The sequence below is a fragment of the Homo sapiens genome, chromosome 11, assembly GCF_000001405.40.
Source record: "Homo sapiens chromosome 11, GRCh38.p14 Primary Assembly".
NCBI lineage: Eukaryota > Metazoa > Chordata > Mammalia > Primates > Hominidae > Homo > Homo sapiens.
This window is the reverse complement of record NC_000011.10, coordinates 129841964-129854886: the sequence shown is the minus strand read 5'-3', so window position 1 is coordinate 129854886 and position 12923 is coordinate 129841964. Positions and strand designations below refer to the sequence as shown.

At 43.5% G+C, this 12923-nt stretch overlaps 1 protein-coding gene across 10 annotated transcripts in view; it reads right to left on the bottom strand.

Annotated features, from left to right (window-relative positions):
• Positions 1–12923, bottom strand: part of TMEM45B (transmembrane protein 45B) — a 44156-nt gene that overhangs the window by 5117 nt on the left and 26116 nt on the right. For 7 of the 10 annotated variants that reach the window (XM_047426356.1, XM_047426354.1, XM_047426355.1 and 4 more), the window contains 2 exons: positions 2227–2412; positions 71–277 (listed from right to left, as the gene is read on the bottom strand). In XM_047426356.1, the coding sequence (XP_047282312.1) occupies positions 71–277; positions 2227–2404 (385 nt within the window). In that variant the 5' untranslated portion in view covers positions 2405–2412. Of the gene's footprint in view, positions 1–70; positions 278–2226; positions 2413–3094; positions 3226–4282; positions 4338–12923 lie in introns of those variants that run through there. The other 3 variants (XM_047426358.1, NM_001331211.2, XM_047426357.1) reach the window with 2 other exon arrangements.

The following is a 12923-nucleotide window of genomic DNA, read 5'->3' as shown; positions in this document are numbered from 1 at the left end:
TTGTACTCTGATCCTTCATAAATATGACTTGTCAGGCTCTCCTTCCTCTCCATCCGTTCCACAAAATTACCTTCCATGAATACTGCCACAGCCATAACCAGTCTGTCCACCCCCAAGGGAACGTGGCTGACCAGATAGGTGAGCATGTCAACAATTCCTGAGACTGCAAAGAATAGGTACATGGTGCTGTGCTGCCAATTCATTAACTTTATCCAGTGGTTCTCATGGTAGAGGTGCAGGTGGGGCCCATCCGGAACAAACTGCTCTGCCAGGATCCCTGCAGGGAAATGAGGATGGATGTTTTAGAGGGAAGAGTAGCTCTAAGACAAATAGGAGCAAGGAATAACCCAAAGGCATGAGCGAAGCGGAGATGGGGTGAGGTGAGGGTGGCCCGCGGGTCAGCAGAGCTACTTTGCTGCCTCAGGTGCAGCTGCTTCAGTATAAAGTAGGGTGTGTGCTGAGTCACCTGTGTAGACATCTTGCCATTGTTGTTCCTTTTAGGGGTTTGGGGTTGAGGGTAGAAGAATCAATGAACACAACCACACACACATAGATCCCCAGGAGGTTTGTCCAGGAGCAGAGATGAGCAAGACATCATCACTTAAGTCGGAGTGTGGCTGATAGAATAATCTCTGGGCTTCCCTGCCAAGTGAGCAGTGAAAGAAATCCCAGACAGAAACAATTAGGCTGAAAGCAGAATCTGAGCAGAGACACACTGGTAATGAAGATACCTGTACGTGCCAAGGGAGGGAAGCGGCTCCCAGGTGCGTGTCTGCAGGGCTGATTTTGAGTGCGTGTCCTTCCTGGGCACAGAGCCAGCTCTGCAAGCCCTGCGCCCCTCCCAGCTGTGTGTTTTAAAACACCGGGTAAACAAGGCAGAGGCCCCAGGATGTGGGCCAGAAAATGACGAAACTGCGACACAGGATAGCTCTTAGTTCTTATCCCTTCTACTTTTATCAGCTAATTTGGAAGGCAAAAGATTTGTCTTTATGCCTGGTACCCAAAGTGTTCTTGGGGAAGCCTAGAAGAAATCCTCCATGATGACATTTTGGACTCCGTTTCCCAGATACTTGTTTCTCAAGCCAGACCCTTTTTGAATTCCCACACACAGAGTCAGGAAGTTGTGGAAATGACCCAGGAAAAGTCCCAGTGACACTAGAATGGAAGCCCTGTGACAGCAGCGGCTGTGTGGTTCCCCAGTGTATCTCCTATGCCTGGAACAGTGACTTCCTGGCTTGTGGTAGGAGTGCCAGAGAGCTGTTGAATGAGTACCATTTTCACCCAGTCAAGGGGCCAAATATTGTAATTGTCCTAGCTTTATTTAGGCAAGGTTGATGCTGTCCTGATCCTTTAAGCCACAGGTCCCTGTCACTTCTCACGGGAGGCCTCTCTGATGCCTGAATGGTGAGTGGGGACATTCAGCAGGATGAGACCAACAAAGCCCTGTGAAGCTTTGCTTCCTCCAAGAGAAGCGATGTTGCTTCACTCTCTCCAAGAAGCCATAGGCCACTGATGACAAGTGGTAATTGTCAGTTGCAGATTAAGACCCCTCATTCCCCCCAGGTGGGGCTGGTCCTGAGGAAGAACACTTGTTACTGTCATCACTGCTTGTTCCTGGAGGGCCGCAGTGGAGCGGAGTGGATGCGAAGGAAACAGTGGGAGTGGGTGGATCTTGTTGGAATGGGGCAGAGTGAAGGAAAATTCCTCTTCAACAGCCCTCTGCTGCTTTTTCTCTCCCACTGGCTAATTTACGAATCTACATAAACTCTCTATAAGCGCTTGAGACTTGAGGATGAAGATAAGCCAGTGGGTTGGGTGTTAACTACTGTAAGGATCTGGAGGGAGAGACAATTGAGGAAAAAAGGTGATTTTTCTACTTTGTCACAACTAAGGTACGTGAGCCTAATCTATTTTGTTTTTTTCTCTTTTTATTTGTGTCATATCTTTTTCATACAGTGGGTGTTTTGCTCCTACAACTTTCCATACCTGTGTCCTTGTTGATTTGAGTTTTTCACAGTGTCCCATGATGTGAGAGCTGTCAACCGTTAGTATTATAAAGCTCTGTACACAATGGATGTTACGATAAAATAGTCTAGTGGCCATCAGGAAATTGTTGCCCTATTATCTCTGCCAGTGGGAACATCTATTTCACAGGGCTCAGAAAATGAATTAAAGGTTCTGGGTATGATGAGGAGATTCCCTAGACCAAATGACCCCTGCTCTTACCAGTGACGGAAAACAAAGTCCTAATTGCGGCTTCGACGATCTCGAGACGCTGATAGTAATGTAGTGGGCTGTTCTTCCGCGTGTGGCTAAAGTACTTCAGCGGGTACTTCACTGACCAACACAGCCCAATGATCAGGAAGAAACTCCCTGGAAGCGCGTGGCCCTTGAAATTTGCCATCAGGACACCTAAAAAATTAGGGGAAGGCTGTTAGGTGGCTAATGAAGCAAGCAAACAAATGTATATTTTGGCAGGAAACACAATACGTGCCTGAGATTGCAAATCATAAGCCACGTTAAGAAGGATCAACACATTCTCATAAAACAAGCCTTATGTTACGTCACTGAAGTCTCATCTGTAAAGTGAGTTGCATAACCAACTGGACTCCACTGTCTGTAATGCTTTAAACATGTGGGTAAAATAAAAGGATGAGGGTGGGGAAAGAGGAGGATAGGTAATATTTATTGATCTCAGATAGAGAAAACTTCCAAGCCATAAACATAAAGGGGGGAACTAGAAAAGAAAAACGTTCAGCTATATAAGCATCTTTTAATATCAAGAACATCAAAAGGTAAACAACAAATCAGAAACATGCTTGTAGCAGTTGGCTATTACATTAGAGTCTTTACAAATTGATAAGAAAAAGACCGTAGAAGAATAGGCAGAAGACATGAACGGATGATTCACAAAATAATACAAACAAATTATAAATCTCCCGGAAATTAGAGATGGGCAAACGAAAGCACAACATCATTTTTCACCCAACTGGAAAATAATTTTATAAAGTTTTGGTGTGGTGGTCTAGTACAAATGAACCTGGTCAATATGATTCACAGTTTGTAAAAATCAGCATAACGATGTAAACATCACCTTATTCCAAAAATTTTCAGGCATGATTTGCTGTTATCCCATTTGCAGTAGCATGAAACTATAGCTAGGATTTATTCAGAAGTAGATTGATTATTTTCCCCACTGGCCTGGGTGGTTACCTAAAGAATATGTAGGGTGGGAGAAAAATACCAGTTGTTGGTGATTGCTGTGGTTTGAATGTGTCCCCTCCAAAATCCAGGTGTTGCCAAGGTGATAGCATTAAGAGAAGGGGACTTTTTTTTTTTTTTTGAGGCAGAGTTTCACTCTGTCACCCAGGCTGGAGTGCAGTGGCACGATCTTGGCTCACTACAACCTCTGCCTCCCAGGTTCAAGCGATTCTCCTGCCTCAGCCTCCCGAGTAGCTGGAATTACAGGCACCCGCCACCACGCCTGGCTAATTTTTATATTTTTAGTAGAGACGGGGTTTCACCATGTTGGCCAGGCTTTTCTCGAACTCCTGACCTTAGGTGATCTGCCCACCTCGGCCTCCCAAAGTGCTGGGATTACAGGTGTGAGCCACCACACCCGGCCGAGAAGAGGACTTTTAAGAAGGGACTAGGCCATGAGGGCCCCTCCCTCCTGAACTAGGAGCAGATGCCCTCCCTCATACAGGGGTTGGCTGGAGGGAGCTGGTCCCCTGTTTGTCCTCCTGCATGTGAGGATGCAGCCCTCAGCAGACACCAGATGCTGCTGCCTTGATCTTGGACTTCCCAGCTTTCAGAACAGTGAGAAATAAATTGTTGTTCTTTATAAATTACCCAGTCTGCGTATTGTGTGATATCAGCACAACAGGGACTAAGACAGAAATTGGTACCAGAGGAGTTTATAACATTTATAACCAGGGGTTATAACAAATATGTAAAAATGTGGGGGTGGCTTTGGAACTGGATAATGAATACAAGCTGGAACAGCTTTGAAGTGAGTGCTGAAAAAAGCCTGGATTGCCATGAACGGAGCACTAAGGATGATTCTGGTGAGGGCTCAGAAGAAGAGGAGAGCTGTAGATGTGGGATATGAGCTGTGGGGAAAGCCTCGTTCTTAGAGATTGCCTAAGTGGTCATGAACAGAATGTTGATAGAGATACCGATGGTGAAGGCAATTCTGATGAGGTCTCAGACAGAAATAAAGAACAAGGTATTGGAAACTAGAAGAAAGGTTATCCTTGTTAGAAAGTGGTAAAGAACTTACCTGAATTATGTCGTTTCCTAGGACTTCATGGAGGGCAGAACTTAAGAATGATGACCTAGGATATTTGGCAGAAGAGATAGAAAGCAAAGTGTTCAGGATGCTGTGTGGCTTCTCTTAACTGCTTATAGAAAAACATGAGAGGCCAGGTGCGGTGGCTCACGCCTGTAATCCCAGCACTTTGGGAGGGCGAGGCAGGCAGATCACCTGAGGTCAGGAGTTCGAGATAAGCCTGACAAACATGGTGAAACCCTGTCTCTACTAAACATAAAAAAATTAGCCGGGCGCGGTGGCAGGAGCCTGTAGTCCCAGCTACTCGGGAGACTGAGGCAGGAGAATCGCTTGAACCCGGGAGAGGGAGGTTGCAGTGAGCCGAGATCGCGCCATTGCACTCCAGCCTGGGTGACAAAAGCAAAACTCCATCTCAAAAACAACAACAACATCAACAAAAAAAAAAACGTGAGAAAAGAGAAATAATTTGAAGGCAGAATTTACCATCAAAAGGAAAGCTAAAGGTCAATATCTGAAAAATTCTCAGCCTAGCCATGAAAAAGAGAAAAACGTGTGTGTAGGAGAGAAAACCACGGGTATGGCCACAGGACTGATAAGCAGGTTAGTATGTGTAGAAGGAAGCCAGGTGCTAGTTATCAAGAGAACGGGAAAATGACCCCAAAGTCATTTCGGAAAATGACTCCAAAGCCATTTCGGAGAATGACCCCAAAGGCATTTGGGGCTGCCTTGCTCATTAGAGGCCCAGAGGGTTAGAGCCTTGCGGCAGAACAGTTTCAGGGGAAGGGCCCAGGCGCCTGCGGGGTCTCAGAGATCACTGCCTAGGGCCACCTCAGGTCTCTGCTCCCCACATTTCCAGCAGAGCATTCCTCCGTCACCCTAGCTGTGGCTCAAGCAGGACCAGGTGCAGGTTGGGCCACTGCTCCAGAGGGCGCAAGTTATAAATCTTGGTGGCATCCATGTGGTGCTGACTCTGTAGGTATGCATACTGTATGAGCTGTGGGAGCACGGCCGCCTCCACCTCGATGGAAAGGATTTCTTTGACCTCAGGGCCCGAGCAGAGATTTGTCACCGGGGTGGAGCCACTGCAGAGAGCCCCCAGTAGGCCAATACTTAGGGAAGCCTTGGAGGTGGTATCACCTGGAGCCTTGGGGGCCCAACACCCACCCCAGTGTGTTCAGAAGGTGAGATATGGAGTCAGATAATATTATTCTCAAGCCTAAGATCTAATGTTGAGTTTTGGACTCACTTGAGACCTGTTGTTACTCCTTTCTTCCTTCCTGTTTCTCCCTTTTGGACTAGAAACATCTGTCCTGTGCCTGTCACGCCATTGTATTTGAATCAAAGTACGCAACTCATTTGAATTCACAGGCTCACAGCTGGAGAGAAATTTGCCTCAGGATGAAATTTATCTCAAAGTGAATGAGTCTCTCTCACACCTGACTTAGATAAGATTCTGGACTTAGATTTTAAAGTTCATGTTGGAATGATTTAAGGCTTTTGAGGGCAATTGTGGTGGAATGAATGTATTTTGTTTGTGAGAAGTACGTGAATTCTGGGGGGCCAGGATTGGAATGCTATGGTGTGAATGGGTCCCCTCCAAAATTCAGGTGTTGCCGGTGTGATAGTATTAGATGTGGGGCCTTTAAGAGCTGATTAAGCCATGAAGGTTCCTCCCTTGTGGATGGGATTAAGCACCCTTATAAAGGGCTGAATGGAGGGAGTTGCTTCCCTTTTTTGCCCTTTCTGCCATGTGAGGCTACAGCCTTCAACAGACACCACATACCAGTGCCTTGATATTGGACCTCCAAACCTTCAGAACTGTGAGAAATAAATTTGTTCTTTATAAGTTACCCAGTCTGTGGTATTTTGTTGTAGCAGCACAAGCAGACTGAGACAGTGATCTAGAAAAGACCACCCCGGAATGTAAAGCATTCCTGGTCTGCACAGCATATTCCAACCCTGGACACAGGCCCGTCCCTCTAGCACCAGCTACATTGTCAGGGCTGTTTCACATCTTACACATTGACAGATGAGGGTCCCACCCATCATCAAGAACTTCATAAGCCCTCTCCCTCTCCCTCTCCCTCTCTTTCCACGGTCTCCCTTTCATGCCGAGCCGAAGCTGGACTGTGCTGCTGCCATCTCGGCTCACTGCAACCTCCCTGCCTGATTCTCCTGCCTCAGCCTGCCGAGTGCCTGGGATTGCAGGCCCGCGCCGCCACGCCTGACGGGTTTTCGTATTTTTTTGGTGGAGACGGGGTTTCGCTGTGTTGGCCGGGCTGGTCTCCAGCTCCTAACCGCGAGTGATCCGCCAGCCTCGGCCTCCCGAGGTGCCGGGATTGCAGACGGAGTCTCGTTCACTCAGTGCTCAATGGTGCCCAGGCCGGAGTGCAGTGGCGTGATCTCGGCTACAACCTCCACCTCCCAGCTGCCTGCCTTGGCCTCCCAAAGTGCCGAGATTGCAGCCTCTGCCCGGCCGCCACCCCGTCTGGGAAGTGAGGAGTGTCTCTGCCTGGCCGCCCATCGTCTGGGATGTGAGGAGCCCCTCTGCCTGGCTGCCCAGTCTGGAAAGTGAGGAGCGTCTCTGCCCGGCCGCCATCCCATCTAGGAAGTGAGGAGCGTCTCTGCCCGGCCGCCCCTACTGGGAAGTGAGGAGCCCCTCTGCCCGGCCACCACCACCCCATCTGGGAGGTGTACCCAACAGCTCATTGAGAACGGGCCATGATGACAATGGCGGTTTTGTGGAATAGAAAAGGGGGAAAGGTGGGGAAAAGATTGAGAAATCGGATGGTTGCTGTGTCTGTGTAGAAAGAAGTAGACATGGGAGACTTTTCATTTTGTTCTGTACTAAGAAAAATTGTGCCTTGGGATCCTGTTGATCTATGACCTTACCCCCAACCCTGTGCTCTCTGAAACATGTGCTGTGTCCACTCAGGGTTAAATGGATTAAGGGCGGTGCAAGATGTGCTTTGTTAAACAGATGCTTGAAGGCAGCATGCTCGTTAAGAGTCATCACCACTCCCTAATCTCAAGTACCCAGGGACACACACACTCTGCCTAGGAAAACCAGAGACCTTTGTTCACTTGTTTATCTGCTGACCTTCCCTCCACTATTGTCCTGTGACCCTGCCAAATCCCCCTCTGCGAGAAACACCCAAGAATGATCAATAAAAAAAAATAAAAAAAAATAACTTCATAAGCTTTTAAAAAAATGCTTACAGTTTTCAGAAAATCAACTCGTATGAAAGACTTATAGTGAAAAGCAACAGCCTCATGTTCTGTCCCTCCTCACCCCCAGCAAAGCCACTTTCAACCCTTTCAGCTGTTTCCTCCGGTATTTACCTCCACCATTGTAGTTAATGGGTGGGTGCAAACGTAATGGCAAAAACCACAATTACTTTTGCACCAACCTAATGCTTTGTGCATGTGGTCATTTGTTAATCCATCATTGTCAGGCATCACCTACCAACTTCCTGGAGCTCTCTCACAGCCTCTCCCTCTTCCCCACCCTGCTATTTTCATAGCAGTTGCATTATACTCGTTTGTTGAAATCATTAGTTTCATTATCATGGCTCTGTAAATCCAAAGTCCTTACCAGGGCCAATAAGGCCATATACGATCCTGAGCCATCTCTTTGATTTCTCCCAGCACTCATCCCCTGCCACACTGGATCCCTTCCATTCCCTTAAATGGCTGAGAACACTCCATTCCTGCTTCAGGACATTGCACTGTCTGTGGCTTCTAGAACAGTGTTCCCACAGGCAGCCAACAGTTGTCTCCTTCACTTTACTCAGGTCTCTGTTCAAATGCCACTTTATTCCGTGACTCCTGCATGTACAATAGAGGCCTGCCCCACTTTTCAATCTATGTAGACTTGTAACTTTTCTGTAAAGTATGAATCACCATCTGATATTGCAGACTGATTTTTTTTTAAGCATCTGTCATCATCCACTAAAATGTGGGCCTCTGGAAAGCAGAGATTTGATCTATTTGCTTATTGTGGTTAGTCCACAGCTTACCGCAGGGCCAGACACAGAGTGAGCACTCAGTAAATACTTGTGGAATGAATGAATGCAGATCCAAGTAGTGTATTATGGGTTATGTTTTCTCTAACACTTTTTTTTTTTTTTGAGAAAGAGTCTTGCTCTGTCGCCCAGGCTGGAGTGCAGTGGCATGATCTCTGCTCACTGCAACTTCCACCTATGTGTTCAAGCGATTCTCCTGCCTCAGCCTCCTGAGTAGCTGGAATGAAGGATGGTGCCACCACGCCTGGCTAATTTTTGTATTTTTAGTAGAGACAGGGTTTCACCATGTTGACCAGGCTGGTCTTGAATTCTTGACCTCAGGTGATCCACCTGCCTTGACCTCCCAACATGCTGGGATTACAGGCGTGAGCCACCGCACCTGGCCTAACACTTTTGTTTTATTCTGGGGTTAATAATTGCATTGTTTTTTTACTTGTTTATCTTCCCAAATACTGATCACTATGTTTTTCCTCCAAAGGGCTAAAAGATCTGTCAAATGTTGACCAAATTAAATTCTAGACATTTTAACCTCAGATAACTTATTTCTGTTTTATTCCTAGAGACCTGTTTTGAGAATATTCTCTTTAAAATTGAACTGGCTGTCTGTCCTCCTGGGGCATTCTGCACCATCTTACAAATTCCCTTTGCCTTTTTCTTGTTTTCCACCCACCCTACCTTTTGCTGCAGCTTCCAGAAGAGGCTTTTCCTTGTTTTGGATCCCCTGTTTCTTGGATGCCATTTATTTTTCTTTCTTGGCTTATTTCCATTAATATAAGTCTAGCATTCCCAAAACTATGCATAAAAGGGAAATTCCTTGAGAATTTGCATAGTTGACAATCTCTGCCTTTTTATTGGGACGGTTTATTTAGTCCATTCATATTAATGTAATTATTGGTGTGGTTATATTTATAGTTGTCATTTTGCTATTTGTTTTCTGTCACTCATGCATTTTTTTGTTCCTCCGTGCCTCATTTCCTGCTGTCATTTATGTCTAACAAGTAATTTTAGTATACCATTTTAATTACTTTTTTCATATTTTAAGCTATATATATTTTTTTCCTACTGCATGCTCTAGTCTAGGGATTATAGTATGCATCTTGAAGTTACCATGGTCTATTTTAATAGTAACTTAATTCTGATAAAATATAGTGACTTTGTTCCAATATATAATAGCTCTATTTCCTACCCCTTCCTTCATGCATACACACACACACACACACACACACACACACATCTATAATAGCTCTATTTCCTACCCCTTCCTTCATGCATACACACACACACACACACACACACACATACACACACACAAAATAAGCCATTAATATATATGAATGGACTAAATAAGCCACTCTAATAAACAGGCAGAGACGTGTGCGTGTGTGTGTACACATATATGTACATATCATATTTATGTTTGGGCTTGTTATAAAGTTTTTAAGATTTAAGAATATATAAAGTCTAGGTTATAAACTAATGGTGTGGCAATTATTTCTTGAAGCAATTTTACATTTTTCAAAGCATGAATATATATATATTCTTTGATATTTAATCACATATTTACCATTTCCAGCGTTCTTCATTTCTTTCTGTCCATTTTAATAACTCTAAAACCTCATTTTCTTTCGACCTGAAGGATGTCCTTTAATATTTTTTCAGCTTTATTGCGGTATAATTGACAAATAAAAATTGTATATACTCAGGGTATATAACATGATGATTTGATATATGTATACATTGTGAAATGATTGGTATGATCAAGCTAATTAACAGAGTTATCACCTTACCTGGTACCCTTTCCTTTCCTTTGTAATGAGAATCCTTAAGATCTACTCTCTTAGCAAATGTCAAATATAAGGTTTATTATTATTACTATTATTTTTAGAGACAGGGTCTCGCCCTATCACCGAGGGTGGAGTGCAGTGGCATAATCATAGTTCACTGCAGCCCTGAACTTCTTGGGCTCAAGTGATCCTCCGCCTCAGCCTCATAAGTAGTTAGGACTACAGGTGCAGGCCACCACGCCTGGCCAATTTAAAAAATTTTTTGTAGAGACAACGTCTCGCTATGTTGCCCAGGCTGGTCTTGAATGTTTGGGTTCAGGCTATTCTCTCGCCTCAAACTCCCAAGGTGCTGCGATTACAGACATAAGCCACTGTGCCTGGCCAGTATATTATTATTAATGATAGTCACCCTCCTGTACATTAGGTCTCCAAAATTTACTCATAACTGCAAGTTTGTACCCTTTGACCAATATCTCCCCATTTCCCCCACTGCTCCAGAACCCTGGTAACAGGTATTCTATTCTGTTTATATCCAGTTTGATTATTTTAGATTCCACATATAAGTGAGATCACACAGCATTTTTTCTGTGTCTGGCTTATTTCCCTTAGTATAAGGTCTTCAAGGTTCATCCATGTTGTTGCAAATAGCAGGATTTCCTTCTTTTTTAAGGCTGAATAATATCCCATTCTATATATATATACACCACATTTTTTTTGTCCATTCATCAATCAGTGAACACTTAGATTGTTTCCATATCTTGGCTATTGCAAACAAAGCTGCAGTGACCATGGGAGGGCAGATATCTTTTCAAGATAGGGAGTTTATTTGCTTTCGATATATACACAGAAGTGAAATTGCTGGATCATAGGGTAGCTCTATTTTTAATTTTTTGAGAAACCTCCACACTGTTTTCCATAATAGATGTACCAATTCACATTCCCACCAACAGTATGTAAAGGTTCCCTTTATCCACATCCACACCAATCTTGTTTTGTTTTTTGTTTTGATTTTTTGGCAACAGCCATCCCAACAGGTATAAGGTAATATCTTATTGTGACTTTGATTTACATTTCCCTGACGATTAGTGATGTTGAGCATCTTTTCATAAACCACTTGGCCATTGTATGTCTTCTTTAGAGAAATGTCTATGCAGGTCCTTTGCCCACTTTTTTTTTTTTTTCTCAAAGCAGAAAATTTATTGCCTACATTCTTTGACTACAATGCTATAACAACAGAAATATTTTCTTTTACAAAAATCTCAATCACCTTAAACATTTTTTAAGTCACTAAATAACTTTGGGTCAAAGAAGAAATCAAAACTGCAAATACATAAAAGCAAACATCAATTGGCATTGTATACATTAGAACATATGAAATAGATTATAGTAAACAATTATTAAAACACAAAGAATCCAGGATGCGGAAAGCTGGGATGAGTATTACACCCTAACAGCAACGATAGCAGATAAACTACAAAATCATAACTTTTCCTAAACTCATTTGAGAACTGAGATCATAGGGCAATCAAAAAGTCTAAAATAGGCTGGGCACAGTGGCTCATGCCTGTAATCCCAGCACTTTGGGAGGCTGACTGAGGCAGGCGGATCACCTGAGGTGAGGAATTCAAGACCAGCCTGGCCAACATGGCAAAACTCCATCTCTACCAAAAATACAAAAAATTAGCCAGCCGTGGTGGCGCATGCCTGTAGTTCCAGCCACTCGGGAGGCTGAGGCAGAAGAATCGCTTGAACCTGAGAGGCGGAGGTTACAGTGAGCCGAGATTGCACCACTGCACTCAGCCTGTTGCCTACTTTTTAATAGGGTTATTTGTTTTTTACTATTGAGTAGTAAGAGTTTCTTGTATATTTTGGATTTAGCTCCTTATTGCATATATGGTTTGCAAATATTTTCTCCCATTCTATGGGTATCTTTACTCTCTTCATGGTTTTCTTTGCTATGCAAAAGCTTTTTACTTTGATGCAATCCTACTCCTTTACTTTTGCTTTTGTTGCCTGTGCTTTTGTTGTCATATCAAAAAAGAAATCAACGCTAGCACCAATGTCATGTATCTTTCCCTGCATATTTTCTTCTAGGAGTTTTACCATTTTAGGTCTTACATTTAAATCTTTCATCCACCTTTAGTTGATTTTTGTATATGGTGGAAGATAAAGATCCAATTTCCTTATTTTTTTTTGCATGTGGATATCCAGTTTTTCCAGCACCATTTATTGAAGATACTATTCTTTCCTCATTCTTGTTCTTGACACCTTGTAGAAGATTAGTTAACCTTATATGAGTGGGTTTATTTCTGTGCTTTCAATTCTGTTCCATTGCTCTATGTGTGTTTTTATGCCAGTACTATATTGTTTTGATTGCTATAGCTTTATAATATAATTTGAACACAGGAAGTGTGATGCTTCTGGCTTTGTCCTTCCTGTGTGGTTCTCTTTGTGTTTTTTAAATTCAGTGTTGGTTGAGTTTTAAAAAAAATCTGCAATTCAATATCTTTCATCAAACCTGGGAAGCTTTCAGCTATTACTTCTTTATTTTTTTCTCTCTCCCTTTCTGCGGCTTCCATTACACGTATGTGGGGACATTGAGCATCATCCCATGTGTGTCTGAAGGTCTGTTCATTTGTCTTCATTTTTCTTTCTGTTTTTCGAATTGGATCATTTCTATTGGTCTATTTTCATGTTCACTAGTTCTTCCACTATCTCAAAATCTGCTATTGAGCCCATCTAGTGAATTCGAAATTGTACCTTCCAACTCCAGAATTTCCATTTAATTCTTTTTACAGTTTGTATTTCTCTATTTAGATTCCC